The sequence below is a fragment of the Homo sapiens genome, chromosome 4 (assembly GCF_000001405.40).
Source record: "Homo sapiens chromosome 4, GRCh38.p14 Primary Assembly".
NCBI lineage: Eukaryota > Metazoa > Chordata > Mammalia > Primates > Hominidae > Homo > Homo sapiens.
This window is the reverse complement of record NC_000004.12, coordinates 152539264-152566647: the sequence shown is the minus strand read 5'-3', so window position 1 is coordinate 152566647 and position 27384 is coordinate 152539264. Positions and strand designations below refer to the sequence as shown.

The 27384-nt window shown below is 40.9% G+C and overlaps 1 pseudogene, besides 2 other annotated features; it reads left to right on the top strand.

Annotated features, from left to right (window-relative positions):
* Positions 11854-12003: an enhancer, noted in NCBI's record as "active region_22035". NCBI's record gives its function as "activates an Ori minimal core promoter by ATAC-STARR-seq in GM12878 lymphoblastoid cells {active_cell/tissue: GM12878}" and the evidence as "EXISTENCE:reporter gene assay evidence [ECO:0000049][PMID:35858748]".
* Positions 14238-14447: an enhancer, noted in NCBI's record as "active region_22034". NCBI's record gives its function as "activates an Ori minimal core promoter by ATAC-STARR-seq in GM12878 lymphoblastoid cells {active_cell/tissue: GM12878}" and the evidence as "EXISTENCE:reporter gene assay evidence [ECO:0000049][PMID:35858748]".
* Positions 14265-15414, top strand: RPS3AP18 (RPS3A pseudogene 18; annotated as a pseudogene).

Below are 27384 nucleotides of genomic sequence, written 5' to 3'. Positions count from 1 at the left end.
TTGTTGCTTTTTAAAATCACAGCTTCAGGTAATTTTTTTTTAAACTAGGGCACACGCCCTTTGCTCACTCATCTGTTAGAGTCTTAATCATTTTTTATCTATTTATCTGATTCATTTAGATTTCTTAGTCCCTTCCCATAAGTGACTGTATTTTCTAGTTTACTGTTTGCCTTTTAATTTTATTTATTTTTGTTGTTGTTGTTATTTATTTATTTATTTTTAAAATTTTTTTAGAGGCAGGGTTTCGCTTTGTTGCCCAGGCTGGTCTCAAACTCCTGGCCTTAAGCGATCCTCCTGCCTGGGCTTCCCAAAGGGCTGGGATCACAGGCGTTGCCTTTTCACTTTACCTTTGAAAATTATGTTGCTCTTACGTTGTCAAGTTTTTATATCTTCTATTGTTTCCAAACTTGGAAATTCATACTTTTCCAGAGGCTTGAAAAATATTTAATTATATTTTCTTTCAGTTCATCTAAAGCTTTTTTTTTCTTTTTCGTCTCTTTAAATATTCTAAAATTTAGTTTCTATTTATGGTGTGAAGTGAAGATATGAGTTGATTTTTTTTCCAATTGTTGGCTATTCAGCTCATTACAATTTATGGGATGATCTTTTCTTTCCAATTGATTTGTGATACAACTTTTAACTGTATTTTATACATACTAGAATTCATGTATAGGTTATTATGTTTCATTGAGAGCTTTGTCAACTCAATTCATATACCAGTGCCACCAAGTTTTAATTAGTATTGCTTTATATACAGGGGTGTCCAATCTTTTGACTTCCCTGGGCCACATTGGAAGAAGAATTGTCTTGGGCCACACATAAAATATACTAACAATAGCTGATGAGCTAAAAGAAAAAAATGGCAAGAAAAACCTCATAATGTTTTAAGAAAGTTTACAAATTTGTGCTGGGCTGCATTCAAAGCCATCCTGAGCCACATGCGGCCCGCAGGCCATGGGTTAGACAAGCTTGCTTTATAATATGTTTTAGTGCCTGGTAGAGCTAGCTCCCTACTTTATTTCGCTCTTGAATGTTCGTGTTATTTTAATGTGTTTACTCTTCCAGATAAAGATTGGGTTAACTTTCAAGTTAAAAAAAAAATCTCTTTGAGTTGTTGATTGGAACTGCATGTACTTTAGGAGCGAAAACTTCTGGAAAATGTCCAAATTTGTCTAGGCTCAAAGTTGCCCGCCCTCAAGTAGATGAGGCTCTGGTATCACAGTCTCCTCTTTTTGAGGGCAAAATTCATTTGCATGAGGAAGAAACTTTGTGTTATTTTCTTAGAACATTATTTAAAAATTGCATTTTAGGAGACACTTTCTGTTGTGGCTGATATCAGAATTGGAGGTAGGACTTAATATATTTTTAGCACTTTCTTTGTAGTAAAATAAGATTGGATACCTTTCCAAATAAGTGGGATTTTTTTTTAGCTAAAATTCCTCCACTTTTTGTTGTCTTTTTAGTTTTAGTATTTGTATATATCTTTTATCACTTTAAAAAAAGGCTCAGTTGGCTGGGTGCGGTGGCTCATGCCTGTAATCCCAGCACTTTGGGAGACCGAGGCGGGTGGATCACCTGAGGTCAGGAGTTTGAAACCAGCCTGACCAACATGGTGAAACCTTGTCTCCACTAAAAATACAAAAATTAGCTGGGCATGGTGGTGGGCGCCTGTAATCCTAGCTACTCGGGAGGCTGAGGCACAAGAATTGCTTGAACCCGGGAGGCAGGGGTTGCAGTGAGCTGAGATGGCACCACTGCACTCTAGCCTGGGTGACAGAGTGAGATTTTGTCTCAAATAAATAAATAAATAAATAAATAATAATAAGGGCTTAGTTTAATCTCCAGAATAGAGATCCTTTTTGTTCACTGAATTTTCTATACGTCTCAAGTTTATTTGAAAATATGAGGGCCATGTGCCAATTGTTTGGATAGCTAGCTATCTGGTTTGCTTAACCACTTATGCGTTTATTACAGAAAGCGGGATCTGAAATCTTCACCTACTAAACCTTAGTTTTCAGCTATGGGTCCTGAATTACATGAATGGTGTCCCCTGGAGCTGTGCAGTGCATAACCAGCATGTCGAAATGCTGCAGCTTTGGTGATAACAATCTGCTGAAATTGAAAGCAAACCTACATATTTCCAGTTTTTCAAGGTTTCACCAAGGGTTGAATTATACCCTAAAAATATGTAGGCACTTTCCTGGGTATCTCTTGGGGAATGTATTTTTCCAGGGAGAGAAGGAATAATGATCACAGTGATGATGATGATGATGATAGATACTTTTGCTTTATTTATCTCATTTTATCTTTGTTATAACTGTCTGTTGTAAAGCATAAGTGTTATTAAAACCCTTATATTAGAGATGACGACAATGAGATTCAGACACTCTGTGTGACTTTCCTGGCTGGTAAGTAGCAGAACTGAGCCTTCAACTATAAAGCATTAACTCTATATTACTTCCTCATTAGGGATATTCAAAAAATGCCCCGAATCTATTATAATTCAACTCTTTAAGAAGGTTTTCCCAATGCTTGGAATCTTGGGGATTGTGTGTGGGTTGTTGGTTTTTGTGGGTTTTTTGTTATTGTTGTTGTTGTTTTGTTTTGTTTTAATCTATCTTGAGGGCTGGGTGTGTTGGTTCACACCTATAGTACCAGCACTTTGGGAGGTCAAGGTAGGAGGATCACCTGAGACCAGGTGTTTGGGACCAGCCTGGCCAACACAGCAAGACCTCTTTTCTAAAAAAAAAAAAATTTTTTTAATTGGCTGGGCATGGTGGCTCGCACCTGTAATCCCAACACTTTGGGAGGCTGAGGCAGGTGGATCACTTGAGGCCAGGAGTTCGAGACTAGCCTGGCCAACATGGCTAAACCCTATCTCTACTAAAAATACAAAAAATTAGCCAGGCATGGTGGTGCACATCTGTAGTCTCAGCTACTCAGAGGCTGAGGTGGGAGGATTGCTTGAACCCGGGAGGTGGAGATCGCAGTGAGCCGAGATCACGCCACTGGACTCCAGCCTGCGTGACAGAGCGAGACGCTGTCAAAAACAAAAACAAAAACAAAACACCTCAGTTCAAGTTTGGCCTGTCCTTGTGTGGGGTGGGATTTAGGGAAATTGTATTGTTTTCATTTTGTCACCTTCTTTACCACTTGATGTATTGCAATTGGTGTAGAGATAAAACCAGCTTACGTTATACACCCAGCCAGATTTGAAGAATAAAGGAAGTTACAAAAGGTCAGCCAAAGGAGTGGGTGTGGAACTAGGAAGAAGCAGAACTACCTGTGCCTTTTACATGATGAGAAAGATGTCTTAATTGTATACACCTGTGTTTTGCTTTGTTTCATTTTAAACACCAGATGGGACATCTCCTTTTCCCATGCCAGTTTCCTCTGGTGGCTGCGTTGAACTGTCTATAACTTAGAGATCCTTAAAAACAATACAGTTTGTGTGTGTTTGTGTGTGCACACGTGTATGCATGCATGTATGTGTGCATGTGTATGTTGGAGGTGGGCCCAAGGCAAGCAGGCAAAGGGGTTGATTTTGTTCCATCCTTTGTCCAATTCCAGGTGATTATAGTGTGTCACAGATGACTTACAAAATCATACATACATAAACTTTCTGACTGTTTTAAGAGATCCTAATTCTGATATTCATTTATATGCACCTTCAGTTTTATTGAGATGCTTTCCCTGTCTTCTTACATTTAATCTTGAGCCTTTGTTTTTGACCCAATCACTTTTACTTAAATTCATACTAGTCATACTCCCTAAAGTGTTTATTTCTTCTTTGGCAGTAAATATTTTCCATCTTGAAGAATCTTGTGGTCAAGAGAATAAAACAGCTCTTTTATTTGTTTGAGAAAACAAATAAATAAATCTGAGAACAATTAGAAGTTCTCAGATAAGGAGCAGTTTATTTTCTTTCTATACCACACATTGACTAGCAGTCCTGTAGTTGGCACTCAATAGTTACTTACTCAAAAGAAAATAGATGCTAACGAGGGCCAGGCGTGGTGGCTCACGCCTGTAATCCCAGCACTTTGGGAAGCCGAGGCGGGCAGATCACGAGGTCAGGAGATCGAGACCATCCTGGATAATATGGTGAAATCCCGTTTCTACTAAAAACACAAAAAATTAGCTGGCGTGGCACGCGCCTGTAATCCCAGCTACTCGGGAGGCTGAGGCAGGAGAATCGCTTGAACCCAAGAGGCGGAGGTTGCAGTGAGCCAAGATCACAAGACTGCACTCCAGCCTGGGTGACAGAGCGAGATTCCATCTCAAAACAAAACACAACAAAAAACAAAATAGATGCTAATGAATATTACCTTGGATATTACATTCATTTGTTCACCCAGTTTCTGATAGCTCCTTTTATATCATCCTAGAATGAAAGTCAGGGGCACAAGGCCAGGCGCGGTGGCTCACGCCTGTAATCCCAGCACTTTGGGAGGCCAAGGTGGGCAGATCTTGAGGTCAGGAGCTCGAGACCATCCTGGCTAACATGGTGAAACCCCGTCTCTATTAAAAATACAAAAAAAAAATTAGCCAGGCGTGGTTATTTGCTAGGAAGGAAGATCTCATTATTCTTTAGGTTAAAAAACAAAAACAAAACACAACATAACTAGAGACCACCTTTTTGGGGGCAGTTGGCTGTAGTCCCAGCTACTCGGGAGGCTGAGGCAGGAGAATGGCGTGAACCCAGGAGGCGGAGCTTGCAGTGAGCCGAAATCACACCACTGCACTCCAGCCTGGACGACAGAGCGAGACTACATCTCAGAAAAAAAATAAAAAAAGTCAGGGACACAATAAAGCTTCATAGACTTTTTAAAAAAAATTAATAGACTTTACTTTTTAGAACAGTTTTAGGTTTACAGAAAAATGAACAGGAAAGTACGGGGAGTTCCCATATACCTTCTTCCCCTACCACAGCTGCCCTCATTATTAATATCTTGCATTCGTGCGGTACATATGTTATTTATAACTGATGAGCCAATATTGATACATTATTATTAACTAAAGTCCATAGTTTAGGACTCAAATTTGAACCTCATTAGGGTTCAATTTTGGTATTGTACATTTTATGGATTTTGACATATATATAATGACATGTATCTAATATTACAGATTATACAGAATTGTTTCATTGCCCTAAAAATCCCCTGCCCTGCTCTCCATCGATTTATCCTTCTTTCCCTCCCTGTGAGCCCCTGGCAATCATTGATCTCTGTAGTTTTGCCTTTTCCAGAATGTATGTAGTTAGAATCATATGTATCTATTGCAAACTGGCTTCTTTCACTCAGTTATATGCTGTTGTTTCCTCCACATATCTTCATGATTATAGACTTTAAACACTTCGTCATCTCTATTAAACACCTACTATGTGCCATACATGGTGATGGGTGCTGAGTAGACAAGACAAACAAGATTACTGTTCTTGATCTAAGCTTTGAAATTGTTCAATATTCAGTGTCCAGCAACAATGAATTTTCCAAGGCAACAAGCACTGTTCCCGGTATGCTGAAGCTCTTCTCTTCATTCCCTGAGGAAATCACTTGCTTACATCATCATCTATGAGGAGATCAATGTTACCCATAATCCCATAACTGATTTACCATTTTCCAGACTAACCAGTACCAGCTCCTTCATGTAACAGGAATGAGCCCTCCTGATTTAGTTTACAATGCAGATCCTCTTCTAATTTTTTTTTTTTTTTAAGAGACAGTGCCTTGCTCTGTCACCCAGGCTGGACTATAGTGGTATAATCATGACTCCCTGCAGCCTTGAACTCCTGGGCTCAAACCATCCTCCCACCTCAGCCTCCCAAGTAGCTGGGAGCACAGCTGCATGCCACCATGCCCAGCTAATTTTATTTATTTATTTATTTATTCTTTTGTGGAGACAGGGCCTTGCTATGTTGCCCAGGCTGGTCTTGAACTCCTGGCCTCAAGTGACCCTCCTGCCTCAGACTCCCAAAGCGTTGGGATTCGACACTGAGTCACGGCACCTGGCCCTATTCTAATTCTTGACTACAAAACTTGATGAAGGAAGAGAAAGGCAACTGCCCCCAAAAAGGTGGTCTCTAGCTGTGTTGTTGTTTTGTTTTTGTTCTTTAACCTAAAGAATAATTAGATCTTCCTTCCTAGCAAATAACTAACATACATCAATTCATTTCTGCCTATTGTCAGCAATAAAATCTAAAATTATAATTAAACTTTCAAAAGACAATTTATGAATCACCAATAATCTTGATGAAAAAATACATAAGGCATCCTCCAAGTCTTTGGCTGGTTTTTCCCCCCAAGATAGGCAAGATACTCTTATATATGGTAGGTTTCATTGGATTAACAAATGGAGGAATCTAGTCCTAGGTTCTAATCAGTTTTGTTTCATTTAAAAACATTTCATGTTTCATGCTTCTTATCCTTGTTCATTATTGTTCACTCTTAAGATGGAACTAAATTGATGGATCTCCATGATAGTTAATGGCAGTTTTAAGTTTTCAGTGAATGTGGGGCATAGTTTACCGTAATTTAAGGAGCAAGAATTTATCCTTTTACACAGAGAGTACTTAAGCCATTTGAATTCTGCTGTGTTTATCTCCTGATAAGACTAGATAATGTTAAAAATTGAATATATTACCAAACAAAGCAGTCTAATTGTACATATAATATTAGAAACAATAGTTCTAAGAACATGAAAATATACAGCAGACCAGTAAGTTATTTTAGTTTTGTTTCCCCTTTAAGCACTGAGGTTTTCTGTACTACCCGTGTATTACAGAGTCATGAGAACCAAACCGGTTTTAGCCAGATTAGAAAATAGACTACATAGGATGATATCATGATGCTCGAAGAGATGAATTAAATAATTAAATCTCTGATTAATACAGGAACACAATGGTGATACTGAGATACCCTATTTGTCATTGAATCTTTTCCTAGATTTTATTTTAAAGTCTTAGGCCTACAAAAGAGGACTGTCAAAATGGTTATTAAATCACAAAGAATGTGAACGCCCACAAACAGACAATTCTTTTCATCCCTGCTGCAAGAAAGAAATCTATAACTGAAAGATAAGAAAATCTGGAAATGGGGCTATATGTAATATATTAAATTTTATATCAAGAATTGTGCATCTGTTTATGACCAAAAAAAAATTTCTATACCAAAGATAAGAAGGGGATGTGATGATTTCAGTTATTCAGGATGATTACTATTGGTAATAAAAAAGAGCATTTTAAAATGAAAAATATTTAGAATAATAGCTTTTTTCCCCTTGTGGTCTATCTTCACTTGTAGGATGTAGCTGAAATTCTTTGCCTTAGAGATAATTCTTATTTTCTTTGAATACAAGCCTGTTACATATTTTTTCCTTCATGAATCTGTCCTTAGATGACTTAATCACTGCTGCTGTTTTATTTGCTTCTTTTAATGAGGGAAGTAATACATGGAAGGAGCAGAAAATTGTTGTCAGACGAATGGGTGCCTGTGACTTGCCAGGCCCTAGGACAGGTGTGGCAGGGCATACAAGATGAGTGAGTCCTTGTATCCCTGCAGTTTGTAAAGGAGCCAGTGCTGGCTGGAGCCATGTTGGAGCCCAAGGCTCAGGAAGAATCAGTAATACTGATCCTGTCTTTATTTTAAATTCTGATATTTTGTTCAACATCAATTTCTTGCATTATTTTGATTTGCTAAAACATTTATTTAAAATACTATATTATACACAATTAGAAAATGGAGTTATTCAATATGTACTGAATATGGTACATTCTGCAAGATACATTTTATAACGGTGGGGGAATGTTCTAGATGAAAAGGGTCTAAAGAGACATAACTAAATGTAATGAGTGAAACTTGATTAGATACTGATTTGAAAATACTGGGTTACTGAGTTATTTGGCATCCCCTTAAAATTTGCAACTCAAGTAACTGCCTCACTTTGCCTCCCCCTGGTCCCAGCCCTGGAAAGAACACCAGGGGCAGGATGAACCGTGGGTGGAGGTGCCTGTGGGAATGAACACACATCTGGTTAGGGTGAGAGTAATCAGCAAAGCTTCCAGAAGAAGCTTTACAGGATGAGTAGGATTTCTGCCTGTCAGAGATAGCTGAAGGGAGAAGGAGGCCCATGTGGAAAGAGGGCCTCTCAAGCAGAAAGAACATGGACAAAGGCATCAGCAGCACAGGCTTCAGTCAATCTGGGATGGGATGTACATAAGGTAGTGATGGGATGTACATAAGGTAGTGATGGGAGAAAAGGCAGAAAAGAAAGTTTAGACCCTTCTGTGAGCTCCCTCTTTAATTCACTGGGCAATTAATGAGCAGCCACTGAATTTTTTTTCTTTTGATTTTAAATGAAAGTGCATTTTAAAATGTTTTCTGAAATTGTTTTCAGGCACTTTCATAAAATGTAGTTTAAAACTTAAAGTGTATTGTTGCTATTGTTTAAGATAGATGCCTCTTCAAATCCCTTGTAAAGTGCTGTAAGTGGAAGTAGGATATCAGAAATTTAGAAGCAAGTACATTCTGTCCCCTCCAGCTTTTTAGAGTATTGAATTATAATTGATATACAGTAAATTGCACGTATTAAAAATGTACAACTTAGTAGTTTTGATGTATGTACAGAACTGTGGACCATCATCACAATCAAATAACGTACGTATCACCCCAAAAATTTCCTCAGAGCAATCCACTTTTCCTTCCTTTCCCCACTCTACCTCTTCCCCAGATAACCATTGATCTGCTTTCTGTCACTATAGATTAATTTGCATTTTCCAAAGTGTTATATATATGGAATTATGCAATATGTACTGTCTATGCTACAGTCTAGAAGATGCTTATTTTTTCAAAAGGTGGAGGAATGTTCCAGATTAAAAGACTAAAGAAATAAAAGAAAAAAAATGCAGTGAGTGCAACTTGATTGAATGCTGGTTTGAAAACACTGTAGATACCACTAGGGAAAATTTGAATAGGATTGAATACAAAATGACAATAAAGAATCACTGTTAATTTCCTTGGGTGTAAAAATTGTATTACTTTTTATGTAGAAGCCTAGCCTAATGTTGCATTTTGAAGCATTTAGGGGTAAAGTGTCACAGTTGCTATAATTTATGTTTAAATGGTTCTGGAAAATATCTAAATAAAGCAATATGGAAACACTTTAACAACTGTTGAATCTATATAGTAGGAATATGGGTTTCCTACATAGTAGGACTATTTCAACTTCTCTGTATGTTTGAACTATTTAATAATAAAAGTTGGGAGGAAAATAGGACAGAAAATTAAAAATTGGGACTGTCCTGGAAAATGTAGGCTGTAATCAATCACCAAGTCCTTTTCCTATCAGTGTCTAACTTCTCACTGGTATCTTCTCTATATTCAATCTCAGCACTTCACACCTGATTTAGAGTAAGCATATACCCTAAACAAAAGTAATAAACTTTGACTTTCACCTCACATCATATGCAAAAAGTAACTTAAATTTGATCATAGGGCCTACATGCAAAAGCTAAAAATACAAAAAATTAGCTGGGCCTGGTGGCTCATGCCTGTAATCCCAGCTACTCATGAGGCTGAGCCAGGAGAATCCCTTGAACTTCAGAGGCAGAGGTTGCAGTGAGCTGACATCGTACCACTGCACTCCAGCGTGGGCGACAGAGCAAGACTGTGTCTCAAAACAAACACACAAACAAAAAAACCTATAAAATTTCTAGAAGAAAACAGAGGGAAAAATCTCAGTGACTGGGGGTTTGACAAAGATTTCTTAAATATAACACAAAAAGCTTGGACTATAAAAGAAAGAAAATCAATCAATTGGGCTTCATAAAATTAAAATACAAATTAAAACCACAGGGAGATACCATCACACGCCTGATAGAATGGATAATAGTAAAAAGACTGACCAAACTAAGCATTGATGAGAATGTGGAATTCTCATGTACTGCTGGTGGGCATGTAAAATGACACTCTGAAGAATGGTTGAACCATTTCTTTACAAATTACATACATACCTGCCAAATGTAAATGTATATGAATACTTATGCAGCCATTCAACCCTTAGGTTTTTCTCTCAAGAAAAACGAAAGCGAAAGTCGAAACAAACATGAGTCCACAAATGTTCCTAGTAGCTTTATTTGTAATAGCCCCAAACTGGAAACAACTCAAATATCCATCAACAGGTGAACAGAAAAACAAATTGTGATAGACCCACACAATGGAACTCAGCAATTAAAAAAAAAACAATCGTTGATACAGGAGGGAAAGAAACCAACTCAAAATAATTACGCTAAGTGAAAAAATCCAGACCAAAAAGATTTGTCTAATTATTTCCTTGTGATGGTGTTTAACTTACACCTCTATGTTTTGGAAGTTAGGCCTAAAGGCTTGATTTATTTTTGGCAAGAATACTTCCTAGATCATGCTGGGTCCTTCGTATTGTATCACATGAGGAGGTAAATAGGCTGTTTCACTGGGTGATGCTAAATTTGACTGTGTGTTTAAGGTGGTGATTGCTAGATCTCTTTCCTATGAAGGTATATTTTTTCCTTAGCAATTAGCAAGCAATCTGTGTGCTGTGCTTTAACCACAAGTGAATATCTTGTTTGGCATTTACTTTTTCCTAACAGTTTTAGTGTCCATTGGTAATCCTTGCCTAAATTGATTATTCCATTGTTTGTTTGTTTGTTTGTTTGTTTTAAAAAAGGATTGATTTTAAACATTCTGTTATTTCTTCTCGATGCATTAGCTGTTTTCTTCTTAGGCAATTGAAACCGAAAAGTTTTTGAATGGAACAACTTTTTCATGTTTGATTCCCTTGACAAATTCATATTTGCTTCTTATGGCTCCACTCAATTAACCTCTCTTCTCAAATTCTAATAATTTCCTTCTCCTTCCTAACTTCCTAGTCACAGAGGCTGTTTTCAAACTATATTGCAAATATCACTTTTTTTCATTCACTCATTCGTTCTAAATTTTTTTTGTGTCCATACTATGTCTTAGGCACTGTTCTGGGTATAAGGATGTATTATAGTGGCAAATAAATCAGATGAAGTCCCTGGCCTATATTCTAGTGGAAGTGGAGAGACAGATAAGAAAATAAATATAAATATTGGCTAGGCGCGGTGGCTCACGCCTATAATCCCAGCTCTTTGGGAGGCCAAGGCAAGTGGATTACTTGAGGTCAGGAGTTTGAGACCAGCCTGGGCAACATGGTGAAACCTTGTCTCTACCACAAATACAAAAAATTAGCCAGGCATGGTGGTGCGCACCTGTGGTTCCAGCTACTCAGGAGGCTGAGGTGGGAGGATTGCTTGAGCTCAGGAAGCAGATGTTGCAGTGAGCCAAGATCACACCACTGCACTGCGCTCCAGCCTGGGCAACAGCGCCAGACCCTGTCTCAGAAAAAAAAAAAAAAAAAAAGAGAGAAAGAAAGACAAAGAAAAGAAATAGAAATATAATAGAATGACAGGTAGAAGTAAAAGAAAGCAGCTGAAGAGGACGGGCAATGATGAGGAAAGGTGATGAAGCTATTTTAGACAGGAAGTCATTGGAACATGTATAGCTGACAGCCATCAGTGCCCTGCCCACATCCCCCAGGTCCTTTGGGATGATCTAGTATAAGCCAGTGTTACTGGAAGCATCTGTGACTCTCTGCCTGTGGCCCAAGGGCTTCTTTCTGTCTCTGTGGCAGGTCCATGCTGGGGGAACAGCTCTTACCCAAGGGCAAATGGGAGTTGAAAGACAAACACCCCAGCTTTCCTGCCCCCCGCTGGGTGGGAAAATTTTGATGTGTATTCCACATCTCCCAGAGGTTTTTGGTGGGACTGAGCCCCAATTGTTCTCAGTGGGTAACTTGGCGATTAAATATTCTGCTGGCCTCTTTCCTTTGCTGGCTCAAGTCTTCACTACTCTACTAGTTCTTCCTGGTACATTTTACACTTCAAACATACCACTTGTACTCAAATCCTTAGTTTTGGAGGAACCTAGCCTAAGTCAGGAAGTCTTAGGAATGGCCCAAGGCAGAAGACCCTCAGAATGAGATTCTAGCATTGGGTCACTTGCTGGCCAACAAAGAGCAGGTCAACAAAAACCCCATCACTGTTAGTAAGTGGGGCAGTGATGATCTCTGGAGTGCTATAGCATCACTATTACTAAGAGTCTTGCCTGTGATTAACTGCGGTAGTGTGTAGGTGGCGGGGAAATGCACTGGCTGATAGAGTAGCTCTTGAACTGAAAGATACAGGGACAATGATAATTATGAGAACTGTGGAGCTGGTTGCTTGTTGTTAACTGCTAGAGAAGCCACAAAGGAAGGAAATAGCAGGCTCAGGTGAGGTAATCATTGACTTAGAGCATGGGTTAAAAGCCAGAAATCTTTCATGGCATCATTTAAAGGGAGTCTCATCTGTAGACAGAGGGTAGAATGAGCTGAAGAATAAGACCCCAAGTTTGATCTTAAATACAACAGAGCTAAAAAGGAGACTGAGTTCACAGCCCACCAGCTTTCTTTCTTTCTCTTTCTTTTCTTCTTTCTTTCCTTCTTTCTTTCTTTTTCTTTCTTTCTCTTTCTTTCTTTCTTTCTCTCTCTCTCTCTCGCTCTCTTTCTTTCTCTTTCTTTCTTTCTTTCTTTCTTTCTTTCTTTCTTTCTTTCTTTCTTTCTTTTTTTTCAGGGTCTCACTTTGCCACCTAGGCTGGAGAGCAGTGGTGCGAACATGCCTCACTGCAGCCTCAACCTCCTGGGCTCAAGTGATCTATCTACTCTCACCTCAGGCCTCCAAGTAGCTGGGACTATAGGCATGCACCACCATGCTCAGCTGATTTTTTTTTTTTTTCATAGAGACGAGGTTTCACCATGTTTCCCAAGCTAGTCTCCAACTCCTGGCTCAAGCAGTCCACCCACCTCAGCCTCCTAAAGTGTTTGGATTACAGGTATGAGCCACTGTGCCCAGCCCCCAAATTTCTAATGCTAAAGCAAGGGACCTGAAAAAGGAGAGGGGCCCTGAGAGTTCCGATGGAGATATTTGGGTAGATGGGCTCAAGGACCTTAAAACCCCAGATTCCTCTTAAAACTGAGAGTGAGAATACTCTGGAGCCTTTCTCCTTGCTAGGAGAAATCAGACTTCTGGTGCTCGGAGACTATGCCAAGGCCTCACGTAGCAAGGGCAAATGCCTTGCAGGATGATGCTTGTCTCTAAGATCCATCCCTACCTCTCTTCATTTCTTCTAGACCAATAATGAGAAATCTTATTATGAGCCAAGCGAGGAAATACTGTTATGTGAAGAAAGGGGTTATTCACCAAAAGCACTGCAAAACCTGGCAAATAGGTACTAGCAGGAAGTGGGAGAACTCTCCTGGAAATGAATCTTAAAGGTGCCAAATCAGGGAGGGCAGAATATAAGACTGAATAGTGGACAGTTTGTTAATACAGGTGTATTATTCAGTGACACGGGACTCACTATCCTGGTAGAATGCCCAGAACTGTACCTAATACATTGCAGAAACAGCTCCTTGAAACTTGAAAATAATGATCAGATGGAGATGCTGGAACTTCTTAGAAGAGAGATGAAGAAGAGGTCAGCAAGTTCAAAGAGATTAGAAGTAAGAATGCATTTTTTTTTTTTGAGACACGGTTTCACTCTGTCACCCAGGCTGGAGTGCAGTGGCACAATCTCAGCTCACTGCAGTCTTGACTTGCTGGGCTCAAGCGATCCTCCCACCTCAGCCCTCTGAGCAGTTGGGACTACAGGCATGCACTACCGTGCCCAGCTAAGTTTTGTATTTTTTGTAGAAATGGGGTTTTGCCATGTTGCTCAGACTGGTCTTGAACTTCTGGGCTCAAGCAATCTACCCACCTCAGCCTCCCAAATCCCAATCCCTCAGCTGGGATTACTGGTGTGAACCACGGCACCTGGCCAAGAATGCATTTACTATGTAACACCAGAGAACCCACCAGCCAACAATGTTCCCTGGGAGGTCCTAGAGGACACTCCCTTATTAAAGTGATAAGCAATATGCTAGTATATTCTGAGAAGCTCAGAACTGCTTGTCCTCTAGATCAAGATTGATGGTAAGAAATGCCCCAGAGTAAATGGGAATAACAGAATTCTAGCGGCCAGGTTGGTGGTACTAGACCATCAGAGGCCCTGGCAATATAATTATGGTTACGTGTATCAGCCTGAATAAGTTAGGAACCTAATATTGAGTAGGAAACAAGTGAATCCCAGCAGAACACATGAGTCATTCAGATTTTGAAAATATGCAAAATGCCTTTTGGCTCTCTGAGCAGCAAGAACAAGTGCCTCACGAAAGGCAGCAAAAGGGGAACCAAGAAGAAAGTGGTTGATCTATTTTCTTTTTTTTTATTTTTGAGACGCAGTCTTGCTCTGTCACCAGGCTGGAGTACAGTGGCGTGATCTTGGCACACTGCAACCTCTGCCCTCCGGGTTCAAGCGATTCTCCTGCCTCAGCCTCCCGAGTAGCTGAGACTACAGGTGAGCGCCACCATGCCCAGCTAATTTTTGTATTTTTAGTAGAGACGGGGTTTCACCACGTTGGCCTAGATGGTCTCGATCTCTTGACCTCGTGATCCACCCACCTTGGCCTCCCAAAGTGCTGGGATTACAGGCATGAGCCACCATGCCCGGCCTAGTTGATCTAGTTTCTAAGAAAGACTGGTATGATGTGAAAGCACCTGCTATGTTCAACATAAGAAATATTGGAAAGACACTAGTCACCAGCACTGAAGGAACCAAAATTGCATCAGATGGCCTCAAGGGTCGTGTGTTTGAAATGAGTCTTGCTGATCTGCAAAATTATGAAGTTGCATTTAGAAAATTCAAGCTGATTACTTAAGGTGTCCAGGAAAAACTGCCTAACTTCCATAGCATGGATCTTACCTGTGGCAGAATGTGTTCCATGGTCAAAAAATGGCAGACATGATTGAAGCTCATGTTGATGTCAAGACTACTGACGGTTACTTGCTTTGTCTATTCTGTACTGCTTTTACTAAAAAACATAACAATCAGATATGGAAGACCTCTTATGCTCAGCACAAACAGGTCTGCCAAATCTGGAAGAAGATGATGGAAATCATGACCCGAGAGGTACAGAGAAATGACTTGAAAGAAGTGGTCAATAAATTGATTCCAGACAGCATTGGAAAAGACATAGATAAGGCTTACCAATCTATTTATTCTCTCAATGATGTCTTCATTAGAAAAGTAAAAATGCTGAAGAAGACCAAGTTTGAATTGGGAAATCTCATGGAGCTTCATGGCGAAGGTAGCAGTTCTGGAAAAGCTACTGGAGAAGAGACAGGTTCTAAAGTTGAATGAGCTGATGGATATGAACCACCAGTCCAAGAGTGTGTTTAACACTCAGACATTTAAAATGGCAAATAAAAAGTCCTATTTGTGAAAAAAAACATGGAAAATGAAAATTTGTGTGTGTGTGTGTGTGTGTGTGTGTATCACAGGTGGGTGAGCACAAAACTAGAATAATGGTTACTTCTGGGAAAAAAGGGAAGAAAATGGGGCTAGAGAGATGTATGCAGGGACTGCTAAGGTACTGGCAATATTCTCTTTCTCAAGCCAGCTGGTGAGTACACAGGTGTTCAGTTTATTATTATTCTCCATACACATGAATAATGGTTTTTTGAACATACTTAATATTTAACAAAAAATAATGTAAGAAGTAGAGCCTAACCATAGTTCTCTATGTTTTTGACTCACAGTAGAGAGTAGTAAAAGGAACATGAGTTCCTTTGGCATTAAGTAGATCCAAATTCAAGCCACAAAGCTGTATAACTTCCGGGATGTTACAGTCTCTTAGTAATAGGTTTCTCACCAGTAAAATGGTTTTGGTAATAGTTACCCAGCAGGGTCATAGTAAGGATTAAATGAGACAATTTACATAAGTTTTATAGTCAGTGCCTGGCACCTATCAGGCGCTTAAAAATAATAGTTGCTATTCTATAACTTTGTCCATGCTTCCCATTTTTTCCCCCTTTTAGAAAGCTTTCATTTTCGTCATTTAACTTCATTCAATTTAATGATTTCCTGCAAGCAAAGCATTATGTGGGTGGGCTATACTTTAATGTGTGGGTTTTTTTTTTTTTTTTGGTATTTTAAGTCAGTTTTCAAAATGTCATTATCTCATCTGATTCTCAATTTCAATCCTCAGTGCCTAGCACAGGTTGGAACATGGAAGGAGACCAATAAATCTAAGCGAATTAGTGAATGTAATAGGTAGGTGTTAGGGGCTGAATTGAATTCTCCTAAAATTAATATGTTGAAGTGCTAACCCCCAGTTGTTCAAAATGTAACTGTATATAGTGATAAGGTCTGTAAAGAGGTGATTAAGTTAAAATGAGGCCGTGGGGTGGGGCTAATCCAAGATGACTGATATCTTTATAAAGGGAAGAAACAGGAATGCACACACATATACACTAAGGGCCATTTCAAGACAGGGAGAAGGTGGACATCTGCAAGCCAAGGAGAGAGACCTCAGAGAAACCAAACCTTCCAGCACCTTGATCTTGGACTTCCAGCCTCCAGAACTGTAAGACAATAAATTTCTGTTGTTTTAAACCACTTAGCCCATGGTATTTTGTTACAACAGCCCTGGGAAGCTAATACAGTAGGGCAAGTATAATTATCCCCAATTTACAAATGTCTAAACTGAATCTCAAGGGTTGTTGTACAGTTACATGAACAGTAAATGGGCAGAATTGGTATTTGAATCTAGGTGCCAAATTCTCGTTGTTTCCACTACAGTCTCCTTCTTGTCAAACTGTGCTATATCAAGATGCATCAATCTGTATGAACTTGATTTTTTAAATTAAATTATTTTAATCAAAGTAATACAGGGGAAAATAAGACTTTCTTACAGTAAAGAAAACCAAGTATCACCTGTCTTTCCCTTCATTTGCCATGGCTTCCTTAGAGCAACCATTTTCCACTCTTTTAGGTGTTTTTTCCTTTAGTATTTGCATCTAACTAACATGCATATACATATGTGTCATAATTTTTGAAATCAAGACATCACCTATTAATTTCCTAAAATTAAAGATGAGTCTTTAATGATCTTAAAACTCATGCATACCCCCATTGTCCCCCTCCCTTCATTTTAATATACTTTTATCACAATATTGATAACTTTTACTTCCATTTTGTCTTAGTTTTCTCCAGGTTAATTTTCTTTTTAACTTTTACGTTAGACTTTCCTCAAACATGTGGTGATCCTTAGTTGCTCATTCATGCTTAAGAGAAAGCCTGCTTTCTGCTTTACCCTGTGTCTTGAGAGGCAATTAGTGACTTCAATTTCTGTCATTTTTCTGGGGTTCTGCATCAAGGATCAGCCTGTTAGTGCTGGACACTGGTGCAGGAACATAGGTTTTAGCTTTTTTTTCTCTAAGTCAGTCATTCCTTGTTCAAGTACTTTCTATCTTCTAGAATTTCCTGACAATTCTTTTCTGCTGCCATCATGTCTTCTGTTCTCTTTGTATTTTTTTGTACCATTTTCATTCCTTTACTGTTATCTTAGGGGGTTTTAGGAAGAAGTGGAAATACAGGTTTATAGCCAAGAGTTTACATTTAAAATTTTGACTTCTCTTTTTATTATTAGTCAATAAATATTGGTTAGTATCAACTCAATTTAAATGAATAAAAATATCATTGGATAACTATTTTTCCAGTTGCCTCTGCCAAACTTTCTTTTACACTGAAAACCTCAGTTTGTATTGTTAGTAATGAGTAATATAATAGTTCAAACTTAAGTGTGACTTAAATAAAATTTTTGTGCTTAAAGCGAGGTAAGGAGGGTGTCCATGGCATCACTTTAGTGATGTTCCTGCTAAATACAAACACACTGATATTGAGGGATATCCCACTGGGGAAGGATCTGGGTGGTGTGAGTTCCATAGCAGGACAAGGAGGGCTTATGAGTGGAGGACAGACTGCTATATGGTGGCAGAGCCTGAGCAGGGGAGTAGAGATCCATGCAGTAGGGTGACCTGACCCAGGGTACCAGATCTCAAGCAAGGTAAAGAGGGCATCCACACTGTGGGGTGTCCTGGGTGAGCTACCAGAGCACAAGTCGAGTGAAGGGAGTGTCTACATGTGGGGATGGCCTGGCACAAGGGTCAGGGCACAGACTGAGGAGGACAGCGACACTGGGGAGGGAGCAGTGGCAGTAATGCGAGTTTGGTTAATGTACCAGGGGATGGATCAAACAAATAAATATATTAAGGCTCATGGGAGTCCAGTTTCTCACTTTGAAAGGAGTCATAAATATGGAAAGGGAGAAAGTTGGAATAATCCCTGAGGTATTGAATTAGAATTAGAATATCGGTGTGAACTCATAGAATGCAATGTTTCTGTATCCATATTACATCAACGTCAATGTTGTCATGTATAGAGGTAAATGTGTATGTGAGTGTGTGTGTGTTCCCTAGTGCTGTCCACTGAGAGAGCCTGAGAGCTGTCCACTGAGAGAGCCTGAGAGTCCACTGAGAGAGCCTGAGAAACAAAAGTGGAATCAACAGACCTGCTCTGGTTGTGGTTTTTTTTTTTTTTTTTTTTTTTTTTTTTTTTTTGAGATAGAGTCTCACTCCCATCACCTAGGCTGGAGTGCAGTGGCACAATCATGGCTCACTGCAGCCTCCATCTTCCGGGCTTAGGTGTTCTACCAACCTCAGCCTTCTGAGTAGCTGGGAATACAGGCACATGCCACCATGCCCAGCTGATCGCTGTATTTTTTTGTAGAGATGGGGGTTTTGCCATGTTGTTCAGGCTGGTCTTGAACTCCTGGGCTCAAGCAATCCATCTGCCTTGGCCTCCCAAAGTGTTGGGATTACAGGCATGAGCCATCACTCCTGGCCAGATTGTGGCATCCAAATACCATTTACCACTTAAAGGAATCAGGGCTCCTTGGTAGGGTGCCAGATTTGGCAAATGAAAATACAGTAAATATTTAGCAAAGAAGATATTATTGCATGGGACATACATGCAATATATATTTGCCTGAAATTCAAATTTAACTGACTACGCTGTATTTTATTTAGCAACTTTACCCCTTGGAGAAATAACTGATTCCAATACTGGGTCAGGAAAGGTATAAGATGAGCCAGAACACTTTTTTGTGCAAGAAAAAAAGTAAATAATCAAGGAATGATGGGACAAAATGACACAGACACCAATTTAAAGGGACTCCCATTAGCCAAATATGGGAACAATTTAAGCATCAAAATAAATAAATAATAATAGTAACAGGTTATAATCCATTTAACAAAATAGGAAGCCATGAGCCTAATAGAAATAAAACAATAAAATGGAAGTTTGATGAGGAATTGAATATTTATCTAGATCTTATCTCCACACAAAATATTTATTAATTCTATATGGACAAAATAGTAACTTCATTGTGGAGAAGCCTGGCAGATACCATTTTAATCAAGTGATTAAAGTGAATGTCATGAGTAACAGAAGGAATTAAAATTGAGCGTCATCTGATGAGACGCAGTAAGAACATAAAGTGATGAATATCATCAATTTAGTGATGCTCCTGCTAAAAGCAAACATGTTGAAACTGAGTGATATTCCACAATAATTAGCTGTAATCTTCAAAAGTACTGAGGTCATGGAAATAAAAGAAAAGCTGAGGAAACGTTTCAGAGAAAGGACACCAAAGACATGTGACAATTAAATGCAACACATATTCTAAACTGGATCCATTATTTTTGCTATAAGGAATGTTACCGGGATAATTGATCAAATGATGGGATTTCAGGATTAGACATTATTAATTATCAAGGTCAACTGATAATTAAAAATGGATTAAAATTTAAATCAATTTAAATGGATTACAAAATCAATTTTTACTTTTTTTTTTTTTTTTTTGAGACAGACTGTAGCTCTGTCTCCCAGGCTACAGTGCAGTGGCGTGATCTCAGCTCACTGCAACCTCTGCCTCCCAGGCTACAGTGCAGTGGCATGATCTCAGCTCACTGCAACCTCTGCCTCCCAGGTTCAAGCGATTCTCCTGCCTCAGCCTCCTGAGTAGCTGGGATTATAGGCGTTTACCACCATGCCTGGCTAATTTTTGTATTTTTAGTAGGGATGGGGTTTTGCATATTGGCAAGGCTGGTCTTGAACTCCTCGCATCAAATGGTCCTCCACCTTTGTCTCCCAAAGTGCTGGGATTGCAGGCTTGAGCCACCATTCCCGGCCTAAAAAATCAATTTTAATTGTTGTACTGTGTTTCTGTTGGAGAATGTCCCACATATAGGGCATCAGGTTAGCAACTGACGCCCAAATGGCTCAATATAAAAGAGTGATTTGTAGTGGACTTGCAACTTTTCTGTAGGTTTCAGATTGTTTTAAAATAAATAAACATAATGTTTAGTTTTGGTTTTAAAAGGAAATGATAATCATTCTTAAATATGGGCCTAAAAAAAAGAGTTGAAAATACCACTAATAAAATGTGTTTTGGCCAGGCGCAGTGGCTCATGCCTGTAATCCCAGCACTTTGGGAGGCCGAGGCAGGCGGATCACCCATCAGGAATTCGACGCTAGCCTGGCCAACATGGTGAAACCCCATCTTTACTAAAAATACAAAAATTAGACAGGCGTGGTGGCACGTGCCTGTAGTCCCAGCTACTTGGGAGGCTGAGGCAGGAGAATCGCTTGAACTCGGGAGGTGAAGGTTGCAGTGAGCTGAGGTCGCGCCACTGTACTCCAGCCTGGGTGACAGAGTGAGACTCCATCACACACACACACACACACACACACACACACACACACACACACGCACGCACAACAAAATGTGTTTTGCAATTATGATGTACAGGACACAAAGCCAACTATCTGGAGACCACAAACTCATACATTAAAGAATGCTCCTGAAATTAAATTGCTAGAATTTTTAAACTATAAGAAGCCAAAAAGGAGACTCAACATATTGCTGATACTTGTATGCAAAGCATTGGGGGGGAAATTGCCATTTAAAAGAAAAACCAATGGCAGTTACCTCTGGGGTTTAGAAAGTGGCATTTCATCTCTGGGATAGATGGTCCCTTTGTTTAATAAAAACATCTTTAAGAGTGTGTCAGACACTGGTAATTTTCTACCCTATAACTATTCTTTCTGCTTTCCTTATTAACAGACCTTAAACCTCACTTTGGGCAACAATGCTCGGGGCCTTCTCAGCCTTCTTTAGAGCTGGGTATGGCCTTAAGACACCACTCTATCAAGGAGAGCTAAACAGAATTGTGCTGGGAATATTGGGAAAATAATCAGTGTGGATGTGATTCCGGAGGATCTGCAGCTTATTTGTGAGTCATCAGGGAATGGGTTTTATGATAAAAGTCAACATGACATAGATGGCAATAAAGATGGCAAAGGAAGAGAAATAGCCTGGGCATATGATGGTATTATGAGCATTATGTTGTATTATATATTGTAATGTTCAATGTTTCTGTATTTTTTTTTTTTTTTGAGACAGGATCTCATTCTGTTGCCCAGGCTGGAGTGCAGTGGCATGATCACAGCTCACTGCAGCCTCAACCTCCCTGGGTCAGGTAATCCTCCTACCTCAGCCTCTTGAGTGGCTGGGACTACAGGTGTATGCCACCACACCCAGCTAATTTTTGTATTTTTTGTAGAGATGGGGTTTCACCAATTTGCCCAGGCTGGTCTCGAATTCCTGGGCTCAATCAATCCACCTGCCTTGGCCTCCCAAAGTGCTGGGATTACAGGCGTGAGTCGCCATGCCAGGCCATGTTTCTGTATTTTTAAAAACGGCCATAATGAAAATTTGAAAAATGACAAATAGGATTGAAGGTTTCTAGAATACCATTTGTTTATCCTGAGAATGCAAGCAGTGACTCATTTATTTGTAGACCACATCCTCAGGAAATATAGATCAAATAATTTTATTTTAATTTTTTTGAGATGGAGTTTCGCTCTTGTTGCCCAGGCTAGAGTGCAATGGCGTGATCTTGGCTCATTGCAACTTCCGCCTTCTGGGTTCAAGTGATTCTCCTCCATCAGCCTCCCGAGTAGCTGGGATTACAGGCATGCGCCACCACACCCAGCTAATTTTTGTATTTTTAGTAGAGAGGGGGTTTCGCTATGTTGGCCAGGCTGGTCTCGAACTCCTGAGGTCAAGTGATCCACCTGCCTTGCCTCCCAAAGTGCTGGGATTACAGGCGTGAGTCACCGTGGCCAGCCTAGATAAAATAATTTTAGATGGTAGTGGCTGGGGTCAAGCACTGAGTCTGGCACATTCTAGGTATCAGACTGTATGCTCCATGAAGGGAGGGACAAGGTCTTTTTTTTCCTCTTCTCATCACTGTATGTTCAGCACGTTGCTCTAGTGCTAGAAAATAGTAAGTGACAGTAAAATTTTATTGACTCAATACTGCCTTTTGGAAGTTAAAACAAAAAATATACTAATAATATTTATAAAGCTGGTCCCTTTGGGAACTCCCTAGTGTTAATTCAATAATTTAACTTTGAATTTCAAGCCAGAACATTTTAAAGGCTTTGCTCTACAAGTTTAGTTACATTTAAGCCTACCTTAATATTTTTATAAAGTTATTTTTAATCCTGTTTTACTCAATTTTTAATTTTAAAAATAGCTGGATTTTATTGATAAAATATTTCATGACTATTTATGACAAAACCAACTGGCTTGTATCCTGAAGGATTCCTCTAAAGCTAAAGGTTACATTTTCAATGATTATAAATGATTCATAGTTATTTTATTTTCTATTAAAACCAGTAGTCATCTATCATTAATCTTCAGAATTAATCTTTTTGTAAACCCAGATGATCAGAAAGGTAACGCAGGGGAAATCTCATCATTAGTCTGTAAGTTTTCCAGGTTGATTTGTATTTTAATTATTTTATTTTATTTATTTTATTATTTTATGACAAAGTCTCACTCTGTCGCCCAGGCTGGAGTGCCCTGGCACCATCTTGGCTCACTGCAAACTCTGCCTCCTGGGTTCAAGCAATTCTCATACCTTAGCCTCCCGAGTAGCTGGGATTACAGGCGCAAGCCACCACACCCACCTAATTTTTGTATTTTTAGTAGAGACAGGGTTTCACAATTTTGGCCAGGCTAGTTTCAAACTCCTGACCTCAAGTGATCTGCCTGCCTCGGCCTCCCAAAGTGCTGGGATTACAGGCATAAGCCACTGTGCCTGGCCTGTTCTTGTATTTTAAAATATCATTAAATTCTGAGCGCCTCCAACATTTTTACAGTACTATGAAATTATTAAGAAACTCATTACCAAATCCAATGGCATTCCTGCAACATTTGACACTTTTATTTGGTAAAACTCTTTTCTCAGTTATTAAGGAAGTATGGCGATTCTTTGAAGAAGCAATAGGGACCAGTGACAGATTGGCCATAAGGGATGAAGGGGAGAGTGGAGAAACTTTATTTTTTTTAAAGCAAGTTTTCTTCCATTTAATCCATTTTTAGTGCTACTATTTATATTAATCTTTATTTTACTTATTTATTTTTTTTGAGACAGAGTTTCACTCTTGTTGCCCAGGCTGCAGTACAATGGCACGATCTCGGCTCACCGTAACCTCTGCCTTCCGGGTTCAAGCGATTCTCTTGCCTCAGCCTCTCGAGTAGCTAGGATTACAGGCATGCGCCACCATGCCCGGCAAATTTTGTACTTTTAGTAGAGAGATGGTTTCTCCATTTTGGTCAGGCTGGTCTCGAACTCCTGACCTCAGGTGATCTACCTGCTTCGGCCTCCCAAAGTGCTGGGATTACAGACTTGAGCCACTGCGTCCAGCCTAATCTTTAATTTTTTAAAAAATTATTTCTATTAGTATCAATATTAATCTGATCCTAAAGCTGTTAGGCTTAAAATAAACCTTATTCAATTGTAGAATAAGAGGTCTGCCATGTGGAAATGAACAATATTCTACAGACCTTGGGAATTAATTTACCTTATTGTTCCAGAAGACAGAGTCAGTGTGATATAATGGCAAGCATACTGTTATTTGAAGACTTGGGGTGGAGTCCGGGCTTCACATTTACTTGCCCTCCTGACTCTGGCTAAGTCAATTTCTCTGGGTCTCACCTTCCTCCAGTTTTAAAATATCACTGATTCTAAACAAAGAACTGAGAGATAAGAAATTAATGAAAATAATAAAATGTAGTATGTTGGGAAAATATGCCAGGCAGTGACACCAATGTTGTGTATTTGATGTAAATGAGTGAAATTAAAAAAAAAATCCATAAATTGTAGCAGGAATGTTAGGAGGAAAGAAAAAGCCACTGTGACTTTTAAAAAATCAATGAACCTGGGAAATGAAAAAAATATGTGCAGGGAAAACAACTTTTTACACGATTGTCTTGAGAAAAATACAAAGCAACAAAAACCAAGTTTAGTTACACAGATTCAAGAGAATTAAAATTGCCTTTATATTCTCAGAGGAAACTAAAATACAACAAAAATAAAAACCACCATGAGGGATTGCTGGCAATAGCCCAATAGTTGAAAAATTGCATGATTTTGGATAGTAAAGAAAAAAAAAGCCCTATAGGCCTACTTTTAAGAAGTTTATTAGCTGGGTGTGGTGGTGCATCCCTGTGGCCTCAGGAAGCTGAGGCAGGAGAATCCATTGAGCCCAGGTTGAGGCTGCAGTGGGCTGTGTTCACATCAATGCACTCCACCCTGGGTGATAGAGTGAGACTTTGTCTCAAAAAAAAAAAAAAAAAAAGAAAAAGAAAAAAGTAAAGAAAAAAAAGTTTATAGGGTGGGCATGGTGGCTCACACCTGAGGCTGAGGCTGGAGGATTGCTTGAGTCCTGGCGTTTGAGACCAGCCTGGGCAACACAGTGAGACCCCGTCTCTATAAACAATAAAAAAATTCGCTGGGTGGTGGCAAGTGCCTATAGTCCTAGCTGCTTGAGAAGCGGAGGCAGGAGGAACGCTTGAGTCCAGGAGTTCACGACTTCAATGAGCTATGATTTAACCGCTGTACTCCAGCCTTTGTGACACAGTGAAACCCTGTCTAAAAAAAAAGTTTATAATCAAATTAATAAAAAAAAAACTAGGTAACCTATAATTATTCTTATTTTGGAAGGAACTTGTCCCAAATATAACTCAAGTGGTGGCATTACTGATGGCAGTGGCAGGCTGTCCGGAGCAGCCACTGCCATCATGCTGGCTGCAGCGTGGATGTGTGAGCGGTGGTGGCAGGAGTGGCTGTGGGAGTGGCAGTGGCAGTTGTGGGACCTTTGTGCCCCGCGTTCCCGAGGTGGACAACTGTGCTGCCCCCCGTACCCATCCTCATATGGCCAGGCAGGACCCGTTCCCAGTACTGGAGCCTCCACTGCTCCAGACCTTGACCCTGAATCACTGCGATCACCCACTGCCACTGTGGGGAGCACGTGGGGAGGAGGCGGACAGTCCCCAGAGCCCACTGCCCTGGGGGCTGCTGTGATGGGGCAGCGCTGAGCTGCTTGCCAGCAGGGGAGCAGCATGGTCGGGCACGGAGAGGTGGGCAGAGGAGGGCCCAGCAAGGACCTGGAGTCCCCGCGCTGGGTTGCAAACAGGCGCAGCTGGGGCTGCCTGCACACTCCATGCAGCAGGCGGCAGCCCTACCCTCCCAGGTGCAGGACCAGGGCATCTCCGCACTCTGCACCCTCTGGGGGACGGGAAGGCCCCCTTGCCCTTGCAGGCCCTGGGTGTCTGTTCCCACTGCTTGGCCTCTCCCTGCTCCTAGCACCTGCTCTGATCTCAGAATGGGGTTGGGGTCAAGCCTGGGCACTGTCACAGCCCGGCTGGGTATGTGCAGGCTTGCGGCAGTACTGACATGCTAGCCCACTGCTGCTTCCGCCCCCTCTAGATGTTGGGCGCTGACAAGCATGGGAGGGAGGCAAGGGTTGGCAGGGCTGAGGGTAGCCCTGTGCTGGCCCCACAGGCGCCCCTCTGCAGAAATAGCCTGGGTGCCATGAAAAGTGGTAGGAGGCAGACAGGCTCCAGTGTGGAAAGGAGCGGGTTCCCAGTGAAGTCCCACCTTTAGGCTGGGGAAGGCCTGAAGCCTGGGGATTGGACTGCCCATCCTGCACACTAGAGGGGGAACTTATGGTGCTTTTTCCTAGGCCTGCCCAAGGACCAATCAGCATGCACTTCCTCCCCTGAGGCCCGGGGCTCAGTCAGAACTGAGCAGGCGATGGATGACCAGCTGCAGAGAGGAGCTACCTTCTTTGCCGCTAGCTGAATACTTGTTAGGATGACCAGGTGCAGAGAGTAGCTATCCTCCCTGCTGAGAACTGAACACTTGTTGGGACAACCTTCCTGCATAGAGGAGCTCTCCTCTCTGCTGAGAGCTGAAAACTCATCAGGACAACCTGCCTAGCAGAAAGGAGCTGCCCTCCCTGCTAGCAGCTGAACACTCACTGGGACACCCTGGCTGCAGAAAGGAGCTATCCACTGTGGGTCTCCTCTCAGCTGTTCCATTACTCAATAACATCTTGCTCACCCTCCACTTGTCTGTGTACCTCATTCTTCCTGGTCACGGGACAAGAACTTGGGACCTGCCAGATGGCGAGGCTAAACGAGATATAACACAAATGGGGCTGAGACATCCCCATTGCTTGCCACGTTGCGGGTGAAGAGGAGGGAAGGGCTGTGGCCTTTTGGGGAGCCCAGACCTGGGAGCTCCCCAAGCCAACACTGTGACTCCCTCTTTGGGTCCCTGCAGTTCCTGGCGTCTCCAAGCTTCCGGGTGCCAATGTGTTCCCTGGTGCCAGCTGTGGAAGCTGCTTGCAGTATGCCTGGTCCAGCCACAGCCTTGCAGAGAGCTGGTGCATCTGGAGCTGCCCGCCCCACTGCAGCAGCTGGTGTGTCTGACTGCGCAGTAGCCAGACCTCACGCTCGCTCACACATGCCTTGCCACTCCACGCCGTACTTGCCCTTGGCAGGTGTGGGATCCAGGCCGGTAGCATAAGCTGAGCACAGCCTGCCAGGCCAAGTAGGTGGAATGAGCCCAGTGGGCCTGAGCAAGACTTGTGCAAAGGCGCCACAGGCTACAGAGGTTTCTGGCCAGAAAAGCGACACCCTAAACATCCCATAACATTACTTTACCTGTTCAAATGTGGACTATGAAAGGATATTGAAAAGTTGGGCATCTCAGAGACTTAGACATTGAAAAGATACTAACGCGCCACAAAAATGTAAATCCAAATAGCTAGTTGTATACAAGAAGGTCCTCAACAGCATCAGTAATCAGAGAAATGACAGTTAAAACCACAATGATATATTACCATACACCCACCAGACTGGCAAAACCAAAAAGACCAATAATGTCAAGTGTTGTGAAGGTGTGGAGCAATGGGACTCATATATACCTAG